This window comes from Homo sapiens, chromosome 17, assembly GCF_000001405.40.
Source record: "Homo sapiens chromosome 17, GRCh38.p14 Primary Assembly".
In the NCBI taxonomy this organism is placed as follows: domain Eukaryota; kingdom Metazoa; phylum Chordata; class Mammalia; order Primates; family Hominidae; genus Homo; species Homo sapiens.
Window position 1 is genome coordinate 27,603,250 of NC_000017.11, and position 18,563 is coordinate 27,621,812.

The window sequence follows — 18,563 nt, forward strand, 5'->3', positions numbered from 1 at the left end:
TCCCCTGAGAGCTGCTCCACCAGTGACCCATACCTGAAGCCGAGGGCTCGGGGCCTCTGTGCTGGAAATTCCCAGCAACTGTATCAGCCACCAGGTGTCGCTAATGAGCCACCTGCATGTCCTGCCACCGGCCTTGCTGGCCAAAGTGAGGGAATCTCATTAGTTTCAAGGGTTGTTGCAAGCAGCCCCTGCTTCCAAACAGCAGCTTTAGCCAGCCTGTCCAGTAAATGAGAGCCCAGTTTGCTTTTACCACTTGCTTGGTGGGGGGCAGTTTGGCCACAGGGGCGTGGTGGTAATGAGAAGTCTCACCCTCCCCACCTGCCCAGATCCCCTGCCCAGAGCCCCTGCCCAGAGCCCCTTCCTGAGACACAGCTGTGTATGCAGAAGCAGGTGCTGTGGAGGCTGCGTCCTTGCAAAATTTATGGAAGGGCCCAGGCTGGTCCTTGTGGGAGTGTCTGGGGAACATGTGGCAGTCCACTCAGGGGAAAATCAGCCTCTCTGGGGGTGCTGGGTTTCAAGCACGGTGTCTCTTTGGGGAGAGGAAAGCAATCTCATGCTTTGTGTTTGGTTTTTGTTTCCTCCAGACATTTCAGCCTTTGCACACGCAGCCCCGCTCCCTGAAGCTGCCGACGGTACCCGGTAGGCATCCCTAGGTGGTGTCCCCTTCGCTTCTTTGGGGAATTATTAAGGCTGGATCCATATCCCTGGCCACCTCCCACTCCACCTTTCCATCTCCAGCCAGCCAGATGCAGAACTCCCTGGGCTCATTCACCCTCTGGGCAAGTGAACTCCACAGAGGGTTTTATTTGCCTCCTATCAGTGCGGTCAACATTGGGTGGGGCCGCATGTGAAACTGGAGCAGTCTTGGGACCCAGGCGGGTTGGATAGAGGGCATTTGGAGTTAGAGAAGCCTAAGAATAGCTCCTGTGCAGAGCCCTTTCTCTACCAGGCCATGCTGAGCACTTGACTCACATTCCCGCATCTCACCCTCAGCGCGGTGGTAGGTATCAAAGTAGGTGTCATTCTTAACATACAGCCAGCCCAGAGAGGTTAAGAAATTACATAAGGTCACACAGCTAGGAAGCGATAGAGCTGGTTTTCCAAGTTGAGGCCGTCAGATTCCGAGTCCTGTGGGTGTGCTCTGAGACCCTGTGTAGCAGTGTCACATCTGAAAAGGGGCTTTGGGGATCACTGCCCACCTCTCAGCCCCCACCACCCTCAAGTTAGCCTAGGGAAGGCTGAGGCTGCACAAGGGGCAGGTCTGGCCCTCAGCCTCCTGCCTATTGCCATGCTATCCACGCGGCCTTTCCCCTAGCCAGGTGTGAGTCAGAGTAAGTACCTTTGTCTCAGATCTCTCCCGGGAGTCCCCGCTAGCTGAGAGCAGAGCGGTGTTCCTCAAGGTCTCCTTGACAAACCTTGTTTACTCTTAGGCTCGATGACCAGCCGAAAGCAGATGTGTTGGAAGCTCACGAAGCGGAGGTGAGGGTGACACACACGTGTCCACAGATGGCCCCCCCTCTTTTTTCCCTTCCCCATCTCAGAATGCGCAGGGGGCTTGAGGGTGAGTGGGTTCTGGACTTTGGCAAGGGCTGTCCCAGGCACCCATTGCAGAGGTGCATGTCAGGGAAGAACGATGAGGAATGCAATGGAGCAAGCTTGTCCAAGCTCTGTCTTCCCCACACTCCCCAGGTGATTGTAGCCAGGGTCAAGAACCACTGCCTTGACCCTTGAACAAAAGTGTCAGCCAAGGCTGGATCCCTCCATTGCATTATGGCTTGGAGAATGTTAACAGACTGATTTACTCCTGCCCAGGGGAGAGTCAGAAACTCTGTGTTTAAACAAGAGTTCCAGAAGGATGGATGCAGTGAAATTCTTCTATGCCAGGGATGCTCTTGCTCTTTCCTGGACAATTAGATGTTGCTCACAGGTAGGTATTGGAGTATTAGCATGATGAAGGGCCTCAGGTCACCGGGGCCAGCCGCCACATATTGTGGATGAGGACATTGAGGTCCACTGATGCTAAGTGAGCTGCACAGCAGGCCAGTGCAGAGCTGCAACTACAACCTGGGTCCCCTGGCAGGATGCCTCTCTCCCCTGTTACCTGGCTAGGGCTCCAGGAGAAGGAAGAGACGTCGCAGAGCCCAGATCTGCTGCCCATCCCTGTTCTTCCTGCTCTCCTTTCAGGCTGAGGAGCCAGAGGCTGGCAAGTCAGAGGCAGAAGACGATGAGGACGAGGTGGACGACTTGCCGAGCTCTCGCCGGCCCTGGCGGGGCCCCATCTCTCGCAAGGCCAGCCAGACCAGCGTGTACCTGCAGGAGTGGGACATCCCCTTCGAGCAGGTAGAGCTGGGCGAGCCCATCGGGCAGGGCCGCTGGGGCCGGGTGCACCGCGGCCGCTGGCATGGCGAGGTGGCCATTCGCCTGCTGGAGATGGACGGCCACAACCAGGACCACCTGAAGCTCTTCAAGAAAGAGGTGATGAACTACCGGCAGACGCGGCATGAGAACGTGGTGCTCTTCATGGGGGCCTGCATGAACCCGCCCCACCTGGCCATTATCACCAGGTAACCAAGCCCTAGGACCTCATGCTGGATGGCCAGCTCAGCCTCCCCCTTCCCAGGGAGCCCTGTTTGTGTGGATGCCCTAGAGGGTGTGGAAGTTCTAATAGAGGCATAAAGAAGAAAACCAAAAATGGGGTATAACTTCCTAATCACATAACCGCATTGACACTAAAAAATAAATAAATATGGGCTGGTGCAGTGGCCCATGTCTGTAATCCCAACACTTTGGGAGGCCAAGGTGGAAGGATTGCTTGAGCCCAGGAGCTTGAGACCAGCCTGGGCAACATACTGAGACGCTGTCTCTACAAAAAAATTAGCTGGGCCTGGTGGCAGGTGCCTGTGCCTGTGGTCTCAGCTACTTGGGAGGCTGAGGCAGGAGGATCGCTTGAGCCCAGGAGGTCAAGGCTGCAGCGAGCCAAGATCATGCCACTGCACTCCAGCCTGGGTGACAGAGTGAGACCTTTCTAAGTTTACAGAAGATCAAATGTCCATAAAAGGTACAGAGTGAAAGCCAGTCTTCTCCCACTGCAACTGAGCGCTTCTCCCCAAAGTCAGAGACACTATAAACAGTTAACATTCCTTCTGTTAAAAGGAAGACATTTGCATATACTCACGTTTTTAAACTGTTTATTCCTTTTTGTAAAAATACAAAGGAGAGATCATGCTGGCTCACACCTTGCCTCCTGCACCCGATTGTGGGTCTGAGGTCTACTCTCTTCTAACACCTGCACAGTATCCCCATCACGTAGGCTGAACCCAGTGGTGTGCTGGTAAATGTGTAACAACCAGTTTTGGGGCAGTATGGAGGGAAGCCCTAATTTATAACATCCATCACTTCCTGTGGTGTAAATACTCTCACCATGGTCAATTTCAGACTACCAATGTTATCTCCTGGAGTGGAGTAGAGTTGGGAAGAGTTGTATAATCAAGAGCTGATCACTGGTGGTCCCGTAATTTATTTACAGAACAAGACTCCATCTCAAAAAAAAAAAAAAAGTAGTTAATGAAAAACAAAACAGGTAATTAATTAATGATAAACTAGACAGGGTCTCGCTCTGTCACCCAGGCTGGAGTGCAGTGGCGTGTTCTTGGCTCACTGCAACCTCTGCCTCCCAGGCTCAAGCAATTTTCGTGCCTCAGCCTCCCAAGTAGCTGGGATTACAGCCGTGTGCCACCACGCCTCGCTAATTTTTATATTTTCAGTAAAGATGAGGTTTCACCGTGTTGGCCAGGCTGGTCTCAAACTCTTGACCTGAGGTGATCCGCCCACCTCAGCCTCCCAAAGTGCTGAGATTACAGGCGTGAGCCACTGTGGCCTGCCTGAAACAGGAAAATATTCATTAACAAAAAAATCTTACTTTGTTTAGAATACGCTGAAGAAAAGTGGGACACAGATAAGGAAATCACCAACCAATATTCTCTACCCCTTGCCTGGTTTTCAAAGGCTCTGAGACTCCAAGAATATTTTCCTAAAAACATAGTCCCTTCCTAAGATAGCTCCCTTGGACCCACATTCTCTCTGGGTCCCTCCTCACCCGGGGTTTTAGGAGTTGATGCAGGTGGCGACCCCAGAACTGAAGCTCCTTTTCCAGTAGTCACCTTGACGCCCCTAACATCTACCCCACCCCCTTTCCCTCCTTGCACACTCCTTTATTGTAATAAAAACCCTGTGATCAAGAAAAAATGAAAACTATAATGAGATTCTTGACAGTGAGCCCCAGAGCCTTGATGTTGCCTGTTGATGCCCTTAAATTAGCCAAGTTCTTCCCCATCAGAGTGGTCCTGCCTTGAACCCACCAAGCATGGCTACTCTGAGTTCCTGAGAGCTTTGATGCACTGTTTCCTGTTGTAGGATGGGCAGGCACTGGCTCTCAGGGAATGGGGGTTTGTGTGCGTGTACGTGTGTGGTGTCATGTGTTTCTGCACGTTCAGGCCAGGCCCCAGCAGGACTGGGCTGGGTTAAAGAAGATTTGGCTCACAGTCGAGGGGCTGGAGAGAGTCCTTGCAGGCAGACGGGCACAGTTCTCCCCATGGGCTCCACCAGGGTTGGGGTCAGGCCGCACCAGCCCCAGACTTGTGCTTGACCCCCACCACCCTCGACAGCTTCTGCAAGGGGCGGACGTTGCACTCGTTTGTGAGGGACCCCAAGACGTCTCTGGACATCAACAAGACGAGGCAAATCGCTCAGGAGATCATCAAGGTGAGGGGGTGCCCAGCTGCTGGGGGTGGGTTTCTGGCCGGTTCCAGGGCTCTCGGCTGTTCCTCTCGCCCTGTTACTCCCTGTTAGGGTGGTTTGGGCAGCTTTGCCTCTCCTTCTAGCTCAGGCTCCTCAAGGGTGGGACCCCATCTCTTCCTCCCTGTCTCTGTCTCATTCATTCAGAGCTGGGAGCTGATTGTCCACATGATTAGGCTTGATGGAATTGACTTGGTTGGGAAGGAACTTGGCAGGCTTTAGAGGCCAGTTTCAATCCTGGTCACACCCTTTGTGTGACCTTGGGTAGGTTTAGCCTCTCTAAGCCTCAGTTTTCTCCCCTGTAAAATGGGGATCTTCATATATCCTCCCTCTCTGGATTGGTGTGAGGTTAAAAACGCGATAATCCATGCTGTGGGGTACACAGGAGCCCTGGGTCTGGTGTTTGAAGACAGCTTGACCTTGGATGAGATCATGCCTATGTCAGGTCACCCACGCTCCATGCACCTGACTCATCAGTGTTAGTTCAAATAGAGCATTGGTTAGAAATCACCCACTGCCACCTCTTCGCTTGATAGGTGAGGAAACCAGTCTTCAGAGAAGTTGAGCACTGTGTCCAAGGCCACAGAGTGAGTGAGAATCTGAGCTGAGATGGAGTTCAAACCCCAGATTTCTTAGTCCAGGGCTCCTTCTACTACAGCTCAGACATTAGGAGCACTCAAAGTTGGGGACCCCGCTGTGGGAATGCCTCTCTGTTCCCCCACCTTGAGCCCTTGTCCTGCCTGAGAGCACAGACCAGCTGTGCATATCCTGACAGAAAACCCCAGCTCATTTAGGCCCTTTATGACTGTACACTGATAAATCTCACTGTCCCTGACCCCCCGGCTCCCTGCCCATCACCCTGTTCACACCTCCTACCTTAGCCAAGGTTAACATGGTTGTTTAGAAGCATGGTAACATTAAAAGAGCATAGACCGGTCTGGGATCAGATCTCAGCTCTGCTTCTTCACTGCTGTGTGGCTTGGAGCAAGTGACTTTCCCTCTCTGAACCTCGATTTCTTCTTCTGTAAAATGGGGACAATATACTGCATGGAATTGTGAAGATCAAATATGGGGATTTAGGTAAATCATCCAGCCCAGGGTGGCACCTCCGTCATCGTTGCACATCTTCACTCCTCCTGATGTGTCCTCCAGGGCATGGGATATCTTCATGCCAAGGGCATCGTACACAAAGATCTCAAATCTAAGAACGTCTTCTATGACAACGGCAAGGTGGTCATCACAGACTTCGGGCTGTTTGGGATCTCAGGCGTGGTCCGAGAGGGACGGTGAGTTGGTCTTGAGTGTCTGGGTGGGTTGTGGGTGCTGGATGGGGAAGAGCAGGGCTGAGGTCTGGGCACTTTCACTGTTTGTTGCTGAGCTGCAGCCCTCCCTGCAGGGAAGCCCAGGTCGCTTTGGTCCTGCCCTCGTAGTTCTGGTTCAGAATCAGATTTGGGTCGCGTTTGGATTCTCAGGCCGACTTCCACGGAAACCAGGTCCCCACACTCACATTTGCCCTGGCTGTTCACCCGCTTGGCCAAGGAACCAGGTCATTTCCCCACGATGAGGAAGAGTGTCAAATTTTATTTCCCCAAATCTTGAAGGGATTGGCATAGGGAGAAAGGCCCCTCCCCTCACATCTAGGGGAACCCAAAAGGGAGCATGGCAGCAAGGCTGCAAGGCCAGCCCCAGCCAAGTTTGAGATCCACAGGCAGATCAGGGTTCCTGGTTAGAGAGGCGCCTCATTCTCCAGCAGAGGGAGCTGGGCACCTTCACCAGCAGCTCCCTGTCAATATTTATCCATTCTTGCCCTGCTTTTCTAGAAACAACCGGTCATGACTCCTTTGTAGAATTCCTCAAAAGCACCGGTGCCTTTCCCAAGTGCAGGGTCAGTGTTCTGGGTCTGGGTGTGTTTTCTAAGCTGTGTGTGGGTGTTCTGCCGGCCCTGGGGCAGACCTGTGCCAGGCAGGCCTCTTTGCTGCCTGCTGAAAGGCCTGTGTCCTTGTCCCGGCTTCCTGGTCTCCAGGCGTGAGAACCAGCTAAAGCTGTCCCACGACTGGCTGTGCTATCTGGCCCCTGAGATTGTACGCGAGATGACCCCCGGGAAGGACGAGGATCAGCTGCCATTCTCCAAAGCTGCTGATGTCTATGCATTTGGGTGAGTAGGCCCCTGGTGCCCTGAGGCCAAGTGTGGCCAAAACAGAGGGCCCTGGTGGCCATTGGGGGCAGAGGGAGGCATGCTTTTAGGTGTTGAAAACCCAGGCTCTGGAGTAAAAAATCAACCTTGAGTCCTGGCTCTGCCGCTTGTTGAGTGCATGGTCTTGAGTCCTGGCTCTGCCGCTTGTTGAGTGCATGACTATATCCTTGACCTGGAATAGCTCCTCCCAACAAGGTCATTTCATGAGGACTAAATCAGGTAATTGTGTGCAGTGCTTAACACTGGCTGTCAGCCCCACCCAGCTGATCTGGGAGGATGCTCACCAGAGCTGACCAAGAACTGCTCCTCCCAGTCTGGGGGAGCTGGATATCCTGCCGGCTCTGCTACCCCACAAAGACCTGGGTGCTGACCAGTAGCAATATAATGTGAGCCCGATATAGAAGTTAAAGTTTTCTAATAGCCACATTAAAAAAGAAATGGATGAAATTAGTTTCCCCTGTTTATGTTTTATATATTATAAAACGATATATTTTATTTAACTCAATATATCCAAAATATTATTTCAACATGTAATCAATATACAAATTAATAAGATATTTTATATTCTTTTTTCCTACTAAGTCTTTAAAATCTGGTGTGTTTTCTGCCTAGAGCACCCCTCCATTCAACTGTGCACATTTCAGTCACTCAGTAGCCCCCCTGTGGCAAGAGGCTCCCACATTGGACAGTGTGGGTCTGATGGAGAAAGTCCCATCCCAAGTGAAGAAAGCCAAGGGGACGTAGAGAGGCCAAGGAAGGCTCACCACCCCGGTCACCTGTGCTGTATCTGGGTATCCTTCCCAGTGGGGTGGCCTTGGCGCCATCCTTCCTCCCTGACCTTTAACTGTATCCTTTCCTGAGCACCCATGTGTGCCAGGTGCTGGGCTTGGCAATTTAGTACTCCTCAAACAACCCTGTGACAAGAGACATTAGCCCCACTGAGGTGAAGCAGTTTTACTGGGATCTTGCAGCTAGAAGGTGGCAGAGCTGGATTTGTGCTGAGGTCAGAATGACCACCAAGGCTCCGGTCAAACCTGCGCTGTCTCAGACTTCCCACCCAACGAGAGCACAGGGCCCAGGTCCTCTAGGGCTGGGAGGAGCCTCCAGGAGCCCACTGTAGCATCCCCTGAAGCCAAGTGGGTGAGGAAGGCTGGAGAAGGGTCCTGATCCTCTGGCTGGGCTATGGCTCAAGGGCCCCTGGGCTTGAGCTGGGCACAGCGGCCCAGGAGCTCACAGACATGGCTGGGTCTCTGCAGGACTGTTTGGTATGAGCTGCAAGCAAGAGACTGGCCCTTGAAGAACCAGGCTGCAGAGGCATCCATCTGGCAGATTGGAAGCGGGGAAGGAATGAAGCGTGTCCTGACTTCTGTCAGCTTGGGGAAGGAAGTCAGTGTAAGTAGTACCTGCCCTGGGTGGAGCAGTAGGGCTGGAGGTGGGGTGGGGCATGTGGCATGGCTGCCCTTCACTCACCCACCTGAGAAATGGGGTCGGTGAGGAGCTCTGCCACCTGCACGTGTCTAGCTAGAGATGAAAATGATATGCATTGCCCGGGAATGGGGAAGGAACAGGGAGGCATAAATAAGAAAATATCTATCCTCACCCCACTGCTCACCCTTTTCATTCCTTTCAGTCTTTTTTTTTTCTTAAAGATAATGGTTTTCATTGATTTATGAGATGAAAAGAAAGTAAAGCCCCATGTTATTTACATGAAAGAAGATAATTTTTTTTAAAAAAATCACTGCTGAAAATACAAATAGTTGTGCTATGCTGTGGTATTAAATCTTTCCTCATAATGTTTTTCTTGACTATTAAGAACAAATCAAAGTTTCCACAGCAAACTTGTTTTCAAAAAACCAAGTCTTAATTATAGTGGCCGACTTCTCATTTCTACATGGTTTCTCCTTAATGGATTCTCTGTGTTTGTAAGTTTTGTCAGGCTAAATAAGAGAGAGAGGCTCTCAAAAGATGTTTATTTGGAAATAGAGCGTTGCACTGGGAATATGCATGCCATGGTGAATGGCTTGCTTATTCAGGGAGGTAAAGGAAAAAATGAAGAGGATTACACAATTATTTTGACATATTTAGTAGTTTTCCCTGGCTACAGAGATGAGTAACAAGAGTGATGTCAGTCCAAGGTTAGACAGGTTGTTTGAGGCAGATGTCCTTGTAGGAGTATTTTTGTATAAGGTTGCCATGGCCTTCGTACAAGGTTGCAGTTTTTGCAGTCTTTAGTGGTAGTTTTTGTTATCAGACATACAAGCCCAAGAAGCCTCTCTTCATGGCTTTCCCAGGCCCGATTTGTCAGAGTTTTCTTCACATTTGTGACTCTCTTTTGATTCTGACAGCTTTCAGTTTCCTTTATCACAGCACAGTGATATATAAAGAAACTCCAGGGCTTGGTGTTTTCAGTGCCATCAGTGATAGCCATGTGTCCATGAATCAGATAGGATTGGGACAGAACAGCCTTGATGTTAATAAGCAACTCCAGTCAGTATTTGGGCAGCATAACAATTGAAGTCTTCAGAGGGACCACCCAGCACTTGTCCAGGCTAAGATACAAACAGGCTGTGAGCTTCTTGTTAAGGTCATGAACATTGCTGGCAGGATCACTGTCTGTCTGCAGACTCTGTCTGCAAATTTGCAGTGATGAATTCAACCTCATCGTCCTCCAAGTTCTTAATAGATGGTAATATTTTTCTCAATTGACTGGTGGCAAGCAGCTAGGGCGTCTTCAGAAGGCTCACTCAAGATGACATTATATCTGATCTACTTTATTCCACAGTAGTATATGTCATCTTGTTGAAGTGCAAAATATTTGTACGGGGATGCCCCTCCAAAGATGACACCAAAATGCTATTTAACAACACGAACAGCAGGCTCCTCTTTGGCCAGTTGATACCATTTCATCTGGGGTGCTGGGCAAGGGCCATGGGTGATGAGCACTTCTCTGACACTCTGAGGCCCGTCCTTCTTGGCCTCCTTCTGGGCCAGGGCCAGTTAAACACCACCTTCACCTTGGTGCATCCTCGGGTGCCTTAGGAGCGTGTGGTGGTGATGCAGAATTTTTTGCTCCTTAGCTCAGCTAAAATCCAGGTTCTTGTCTCATGACCAGGAAAAATTAGGCATGCGGACACATTGAAAGGTGAGGAGAGTGGAATTCATTAAAAGAAACCTCTCAGCAAAAAAGAGGGGGTCCTCCCAACAGGCTCCCATCTCACAGATTGAATATCAGGCCACCACACACGAGCTGAAGAGGCCAGGCTCCTCCCCTGCATAAGGCGCGAATTCCTGGTGGCTCCACCCTATTCCCCCAGTGCATGTGGGTCTCCAGTCCATTGTGGGTGTACCCAGGCAAGACCCTGTGCAGGTTCCCTCATCTGCACAAAAACATCTGTTGTAAACACTTGTGGGGCAGGATGGAGGTTCTCCAGGGACCCTTCTTTATCTGCCTCCTGCAACTGTCAGTGGGCTCAAGATACAGGTTTTGGGCTCCTGGCTGTGGCTGCAGCCTCCTTGGCTGAGCTCTGGGGCAGCTCAGATGGCAGCTGAAGTAACCACTGCTTTCCAGTCTTTTTAAATTTTTTTTGAAGCAGTTTTGCTCTGTCGCCCAGGCTGAAGTGCAGTGGCACGATCTTGGCTCACTGCAACCTCTGCTTCCCAGGTTCAAGTGATCTCCCGCCTCAGCCTCCAAGTAGCTGGGATTACAAGCATGCACCAAAATATCCAGCTAATTTTTGTATTTTTAGTAGAGATGGGGTTTCACCATGTTGGCCAAGCTGGTCTCAAACTCCTGGCCTCAAGGGATCCATCTGCCTCAGCCTCCCAAAGTGCTGGGATTACAGGCATGAGCCCCCATGCCTGGCATAGTCTTTTAAAAAAATATTTAAGACATACATATCATAAAACCTAGCTGATTTTTTTATTGTGACTTTTTCCACATGACATTTTATTATGCTCATTACCTCAAATCATTAACAAATCCTTATTGTTAAGACTGTCTGCCCTTATGTCCTGTGGCCGCACCATAATGTAACTACTTCTGTCACTGGACATGGGGATTCTTTCCAGTTTTAACCTCTCTTTACAAGAGTTAGCAAGGACATCTTTGTATAAACCAGAGTATTATGTATATTTGTTGCATCTGAGAGAAAAGATATTCTTCGTTCTGCCCTCCTGGCAACAGTTTGTTTCCTTTCTGCATACTTAGCATCTTGGAGCAGAGAATGGTAAGTGCCATCTTCAGGGAGGCAAAGGCTGGAGCAGAGCTGAGCAAAGGGCTGCAAGGGAGTCAAGGCTCGGCACTGGCTGCAAGTTGGAATCATCTGGGAGCTTTATAAAAATGCCAGGGTTAAGGCCTCCCCCACAGAGGTACCAATTAAATTGGCCTGGGATGGGAATAAGATCATAGTTTTTTTATTTTTTATTTTTAAATAAAGCTCCTCAGATCATTCTAGAGCACAGCCAGAGTTCTGAACTAATTGGAAGGATTTCTTTTAGTGCGGGGTGATGGTTGTTTTGAGACCAGTGTGGGATCAGGGCGTGGGGAGTGGGGAGAGAGCAGATGCTCCGGCAGCAGCTTGTGGCTCACAGGAGTTCCCTTTCTTTTGTCCAGTCTTGCCTTCCCTTTTTAACACATTGCTATTAGGGGTAGGGGAACATTGGTCAACGCAATAAAATTATTTTCTGTCATAGACAAAAGCTGGGAGTGCCCTCTGAGTGATGCCTTTCTCTGTCTCTCCAGCCACACTGCTGTATAGTTCACCACCAGGCACTGCTTTATGTGCTGAGGCAGCCAGTGAGTTATTAATCATTGTATTTAAGGGTCCATGCATATGGGAAGACATCAAAAGACCAGAGGGTTCTTAATGAAAACCAGCAGTCCCTCACCCTAGATCATTCTCCAAAGGCATCACCTGGGTCTATCAGCTTTTCACTCTGGCACTCCGTTATTTCTGCTGCACCACTTTGGTCAGCTCTCCCATTACTTATTGTTAAGGTTGCCATGATTAAATCTTCCATGCTGTGCCTGTTGATGGAGGCTGAAAGTGAAAAGATGATGAACAGTGTATACACTACTATAGTAGACTGTAAGTGGTATTAGCCACTGGTCAGATGATTCACTGGGATTACATTTTCTTTGTGGGTCCATCTCTTCCACTTCATCAATTACTCAAAGGCTCACAATTTTGTTGGCTTCACATTTGGACCATGGCTTTCTTGTGCAGTTTAGGTTTTTCCTGTAGTTTCTAATTGCCTTCTTTTTTCCTTCTTGCCTTTTCTTATTGCTGAGAGAAGAAACAAACACCTTTCTCATATTCCTGAGGTCTTTCAGCTTCTGCATTCTGCTTCCTAAATGGAATCTGTTACATTCTTTTCAGAGTCCACTGGTTTCTTGTCGTTGGAATCAATGGGATATTAGGCCTGCTGCACAGCTGTTACCCTTCTGTTTTCTTTTCATTCACTCCTGGGTCAGTTGCACTATTCTTTATGTCTCATATCGTGCCCTCTCTTTATTTGCACTCCAGCAAATAAACTGCGAGTGAAACCTGAAAAAACTGCCTCCCAGTGGAAGAATGGGAGATAATCTTTGAATCCTTGCATGCCTAAAATAGTTATTATTTCATCCTCATATCAGGAGTAGAATTCCAGATTCATAATAATTTTCCCTGAGAACACAGGGATTTTGCCCTGCTGTCTACTAAGTGTCCAGTGCCTTGTTGAGAAGTCTGGTGTTGGTCTGATTCTCAACCATTTGTGGATGCCTATCTTACTCTTTCTGGAAGCATCTAGGATTTTCTGTTTATGCCTGCTATAGTGAAATTTCATAAACATATATCTGAGGGTAGAGTTTTTTTGTGTGTTTGTTTGTTTTTTAACTGTTTTTAGTGAGGTCCCTTTATTGGACCTTTTCAGCTGAAGACAGCTGCTACCTTTGAAAGCTTCTGGTAAATTTTCTTTTATTATTTCTTTGATAATTTCCTGCCCAATAGTCTGTTTACTTTTGTGGAAATCCCCATTAGACAGAATTTGGTTCTTCTTAGTGAGCCTACATTTCTCTTACCTTCTTTTGTATTTTCCATCCCTTTCTAGAATTGAGCCTACAGTCTGGGGGATTTCCTTGATTTTTATCTTCCAGCACTTTTAATGTTTCAGTTCAGAAATTATATTTTCATTTCAAGCACTTTCTTATTTGTTGATTTCTTTTTTATTGCAGCCTGGTCTTGTTTTATGGATAGAGCAGCTGCTTCACACAAATGTACACACACACACATGTACACCCCATATCCTCCAGAGACAGTATCTTGATCTGCTTATCTTTGATCTCTCTCTGGTTTTCCTGATACGGCAGGCAACCCCATGGGGTCCAGTTGTATTTAAGAGCAAAAGCCTGAGTTGCTGAGTCTGTGTGGGTGTATGTGTCCTGCCTGGTCGTATGTGCAAGAAATAGGCCTTTCCTCACAGGCAGCTCTGAATCAGAAGGCTGCAGGGCCGTGCTGGTACACATGTGGATCCTGAGAGTAGGCAGCAAAATGCCACAGCAAGAAGGGCTTTGCTCTGGGGGCAGTCGGGACAGCTGTTCTGCTGACTCTTAGCTGCTGCCCGTATATCGAGTCTTCTTGTCACTCCAGCCGCCATTCTAGTAATGCTGAGGCTCCCTCGTCCACTGCAGCCCCGCCTTGCGCATATTCCGAGCATCTTGCATTTCACCTGTGAACGTTGTACCTTGCACTTTGCATCTTCAAAAAACCAACAGCCCCATTTCTGATCTCTTTCCCATTGCTGGTGTGTTCATCATGGTTACTCTTATTTTGGGGTGAGCATGGATCTAAGAAGGAAGGAGGTGAGGTAATCTCATGCATTCCATGTTGAACCAGAAGCATGAGTGGTTCTCTGAAACCCAGTTACTTCTCACCCCTTCATGTCGGCAGGGTGTTCAGGGGGCCGCCAGTTAGAGGGCACTTGAGAACATCAAAGGGACCCTTTGTGGAGCACCCCTACTGTGTGCCCCCTCCCTCCCAGCCAGCTCACACACCACTAATGGCAGCTCCATTTGCAGGAGATCCTGTCGGCCTGCTGGGCTTTCGACCTGCAGGAGAGACCCAGCTTCAGCCTGCTGATGGACATGCTGGAGAAACTTCCCAAGCTGAACCGGCGGCTCTCCCACCCTGGACACTTCTGGAAGTCAGCTGAGTAAGTGCCTCTTCCATGAGCCAGACTGCCAGCCAGGCCCTCGCAGCCTCACCTGGGGTCTTAGAGGGCACCTTCTGATCTTTCTGCCCAAGACTTTGTTTTTTGGGGTTTTTTTTGAGACAGAGTCTCGCTCTTGTCATCAGGGCTGGAGTGCAGTGGCACGATCTCAGCTCACTGCAGCCTCCGCCTCCTGGGTTCAAGCAATTCTCCTGCCTCAGCCTCCCGAGTAGCTGGGACTGTAGGCACCTGCCACCACACTTGGCTAATTATTGTATTTTTAGTAGAGACGGGGTTTCATCATATTCGCCAGGCTGGTCTTGAACTCCTGACCTCAAGTGATCCTCCTGCCTCAGCCTCCCAAAGTGCTGGGATTACGGGCATGAGTCACCATGCCTGGCCTCTGCCCAGGAGTTTGATCTGAGGAATACACACAGTAGGTCACCCAGAGGTGACTAGTCCCCTTGCCCAAGTGATACGAGGATTTCGTTTACCACATTTATTTTGGAGACTCCCTTTGACAGGTGAGCACCTCCAGTTTGCCGCTATGAAATACTACATCATCACTATTAGCAGACCAGCACTGATACCAGGCCAGGCCAGGACTAGAAGGCTCTGCTGAGGGAGGGGCAAGATGGGGCCAGTTAGATAGAAATTAGAGTGATGTGGTATTATAAGCTTCACTGAAATAAGCAGAGTCAATATTGCTTACAATGGCACCCACCGAAACACAAGAAGCCAGCCACCTCTTATGGGGACCACAGTCACTTGGGTTTAGAAGCTCTCTCCCTCCTGGTTTAACACACAGCCCTTTGCACCCCTTGGTGCAGGGGTGATGTCCACCAGGTCACAGGCCACTGTCGTCTCTCCTGCATTCTATCTCATTCCCTTTTTCCTTTGTCTTCTGGCTGCCTCTGCTAGAACACTCAGAAGAGACCTCTGCTCTGTCACGAATGCTCTGTGAGAACCTGGGAAGTTTGTTCTGGGCCTCAGTTTCCACGGCATTAAAAAGTCTCTGGGCTAGGGGTTGGGCCAGGTCTAGGGCAGGTAAACTGGCTGTAAGGGGCCAGGTGAATATTGGAGGCATTGCAGGCCAAGAGGGCAACTCAAGTCCTCACTCTGGGGCTGACTTCGGCAGTGGGCCGAGCACCATCTCTGTCACAGCATCTCAGCTCTGCCGTCGCAACACGGGAGCAGCCACGGACAGCATAAACCAGGGAGCTGGCTGTGTGCCAGTAAGACTTAATGCTGGAAACTGGGATTTCACATGTCATGAAATAGTCTTCTTTTGGTATTTTTGCCCCCCAACCATGTAGAAAGTGAATCGCTTCATCTCACCCAGGAGTCCAGCCTGTAGGTCAAGTATGGCCTGCCACCTGTGTCTGTACAATCTGCAAACTAAGAATAGTTTTAACTTTCTGAAAAACTTTCCAAAAAAAATTTTTGTATACATAGAGATGAGGTCTCACTATGTTGCCCAGGCTGGTTGCAAACTCCTGAGCTCAAGTGATGCTCTTGCCTCGGCCTCCCAAAGTGCTAGGATTACAGGCGTGAGCCACTGCGCCCGGCCAGTTATAAACTTTAAGGAAAAGGACACTTTCTAAAAGTGAAATCTCCCACAGAGTCCCGCTCTATAAAACCCATAAAGTGGAGCTGCTCTTGATGAGAGTGAGGGGAAGAGCCTTTCTGCCACCCGCTGCCAAGAAAGCCCCTGAGGCCCCCGTCCCTGTGTATGTGTGTCACTGAGTGCCTGGAGAAGCTGCATCCCCAACTCCCATACCTGGCGCCAGGTGTGGTGATGGCAGCATTCCTTATCCTAGGAAGGGTCAGGTAATAAATATTTTGGGCTTGCAGGTGGCACAGTCTCTGTTACATGTTCTTTGTTACTGTTTTTTAACCCTTTAAAGTAGTCAGAACCTTTCTTAGTGTGTGGCCAGATTTGGCTTGCACATTGTTTTCTGGGCTGTATCTTTTTTTTTTTTTTTTTTTAAAGGCAGAGTCTTGTTCTGTCACTCAGGCTGGAGTGCAGTGGCACGATCTCAGCTCACTGTAACCTCCACCTCCCGGGTTCAAGCGATTCTCCTGCCTCAGCCTTCTGAGTAGCTGGGACTATAGGCGCACGCTACCACACCCGGCTAATTTTTGTATTTTTAGTAGAGATGGGGTTTCACCATATTGGTCAGGCTGGTCTCGAACTCCTGACCTCAGGTGATCACCCACCTCAGCCTCCCAAAGTGCTGGGATTACAGTCGTGAGCCACTGCACCCAGCCTCCAGGCCTTGTCTTTTATTTTTTTGTTTTTTCTGAGACAGAGTCTTGCTCTGTCACCCAGGCTGGAGTACAGTGGTGCAATCTCGACTCACTGCAACCTCCGCCTCCCGGGTTCAAGCGATTCTCATGCCTCAGCCTCCCAAGTTGCAGGGATTATAGGTGCCTGCCACCACACCTGGCTAATTTTTGTGTTTTTTGGTAGAGATGGGGTTTCATCATGTTGGCCAGGGTGGTCTCAAACTCCAAACGCCTTGGCCTCCCACAGTGCTGGGATTACAGGCATGAGCCACCGCGCCCGGCCTTCGGGCCCTGTCTTGATAAAGAACCAAAGTGGGCCCCAAGCTGCAGTTGAGGAGAAACTCAGCATGAGTTTTCTCTCCTGCAGAAGTCACTAAAGAAATGCTTGGTTCTTCACTGATTCAGGCCAGGTAGAGGGATGGTCTGGAGGAACGACTGTGTGGGGTTAGGGAATACCATGTCTCATGCAATACTGGGTTCAGTATTTTGCTCTTAGGATGGGTCGGAGTCCAGTACAACTGTGGGGTAATGGATCGTAGCCATAGAGGTATACATTTTAGGCAGCCATTGCTGCACACCTGCCGCATGCCTGCACACCTGCCGCATTGCTACACAGATGGCCGAGGCCAGGGTTCCACCAGCAAGGAGATTGCAGTGTCCTAAAGACAAACAGACACACTGTAATGAAACCTGCACACATCAGGACTCTTTCTTGTCACCTTTGTATTCCTGGCTCCTAGTACAGTCCCAGGAACATTATAGTTGGGCACTAAATATTTAATGTGCATGAATGAATGTGAGCAAAGGGTGATACCATGCCAAGTGCTGTGATAAAGCCCAGATGGGGGCCTCTGCATCCACCTGGGGGACAGGAGGAAGAGTCTCTGGAAGAAGGTCGTCAGGGCTGGGTTTTGAGCCAGAACTATCCCAGCAGAGACCAGGAGCATGGGGCTCTTAGCAGTTCAAGGAGGGTGATGTGAGGCAGCGAGGCCAAGCTCTAATCAGACCGTGGGCAACTTGCTTAACAAGCTGGGCCCTGGTTTTCTCCGTGACGAAAGAAAAGGCTCCACTAGGTGGACACTGGCATTCAGAACATCATTCCAGATTCCCCAAAAACCATATAGTCCCACCTTCTCATTTCACAGGCAGGAAACTGAGTCACAGATGGGGCTGTTCCCTGCCCAGCCCCTTCGAGGAAAGCATGCGGGCTTTCCTTTCCTGAATGAGTCTGTGTCAAAGCTTCCTGTTCACAGTGTTTACTTTCTACACGCTTGCCCCCTAATTCTCACTTTCTCTTTTCTTTCCATTGATCTTGTCACTTTTTTATTTTCGGGGGGTGGCGGATGTGCTGTTCTGTCATCTCCCACTTTCCCATCACCTGATTCCTCCACCTGTCCACACGTGCCTGACTCCATCACATGCCGGGGCCGGACTGCGCTCTTCCCACGCCTGGTGGAATGGTCGCTGGGCACTCCCAGTCGCTGGAGGAGCCGCTACTATGGAAAAGGACGCTACGGCCACCCTGACTTTAAGAGCTCCTGTCCGATTCTGGAGGAATAGTGTGTTCCTGTTACTTCCTTCGCTGGCTGCCTGTCTCTGGTTTTCCTGACACAAGCCCTGCTTCCTTTCTGTCGCCGCTTCCCAGCTTCTCCCATCTTTGTGTCATTTATTCTCGCAAACCAAAGTGAGGTTTCTGCAGCTGAAATGGCTTCCAGCAAGGGTCACACAGGCTTGCATTTTTCGCTGGGTGAGAGAAGAGCCACAGCATGTGGCGGGGCCTTTGTCCACACCATGAGTGAATGGGTGGCTTGTCCCTGGGTCGGAGAAAATTCTGGTCATTGATTTGAGCCCCCAGGATCCCAGTCCCCCTGGCCAGAGCTCAAGAGAAGAGAATCCAGTTAAGCAGAAATACTCTTGGAAGTAGATTTTACTCGTCAAGGGCTAAGGAGCTGTGGGCATGTTCCATCCTCTTTATAAACGTGCTGCAACTGTGCCCTGCGGGAGCTTAGAGAGGGTTCTTTGTGCCCAGGATCCCTTCTGAGCATGCAGTGCAGCCAAGCCTGGGGGATGGAGTCCAGGATGGCCCTTTCTCTCTGGA

General features: G+C 49.8%; 1 protein-coding gene and 1 pseudogene across 22 annotated transcripts in view; one reads left to right on the forward strand and one right to left on the reverse strand.

Moving 5' to 3' along the window:
- The window catches only part of KSR1 (kinase suppressor of ras 1), a 169,988-nt gene that overhangs the window by 146,802 nt on the left and 4,623 nt on the right, over positions 1 to 18,563 (forward strand). For 12 of the 22 annotated variants that reach the window (XR_934587.4, XM_011525429.3, NM_001367810.1 and 9 more), the window contains 8 exons: positions 585 to 639; positions 1,431 to 1,479; positions 2,185 to 2,564; positions 4,665 to 4,761; positions 5,947 to 6,080; positions 6,818 to 6,949; positions 8,245 to 8,380; positions 14,046 to 14,179. Coding sequence is in view for 20 of the 22 variants with exons in the window: in XM_011525429.3 (XP_011523731.1) it covers positions 585 to 639; positions 1,431 to 1,479; positions 2,185 to 2,564; positions 4,665 to 4,761; positions 5,947 to 6,080; positions 6,818 to 6,949; positions 8,245 to 8,380; positions 14,046 to 14,179 (1,117 nt within the window). In the remaining 2 variants the exon portion in view is untranslated. Of the gene's footprint in view, positions 1 to 584; positions 640 to 1,430; positions 1,480 to 2,184; positions 2,565 to 4,664; positions 4,762 to 5,946; positions 6,081 to 6,817; positions 6,950 to 7,600; positions 8,129 to 8,244; positions 8,381 to 14,045; positions 14,184 to 17,943; positions 18,025 to 18,563 lie in introns of those variants that run through there. The other 10 variants (XM_047436989.1, XM_047436985.1, NM_001394583.1 and 7 more) reach the window with 3 other exon arrangements.
- Positions 9,324 to 10,002, reverse strand: ITM2BP1 (integral membrane protein 2B pseudogene 1; annotated as a pseudogene).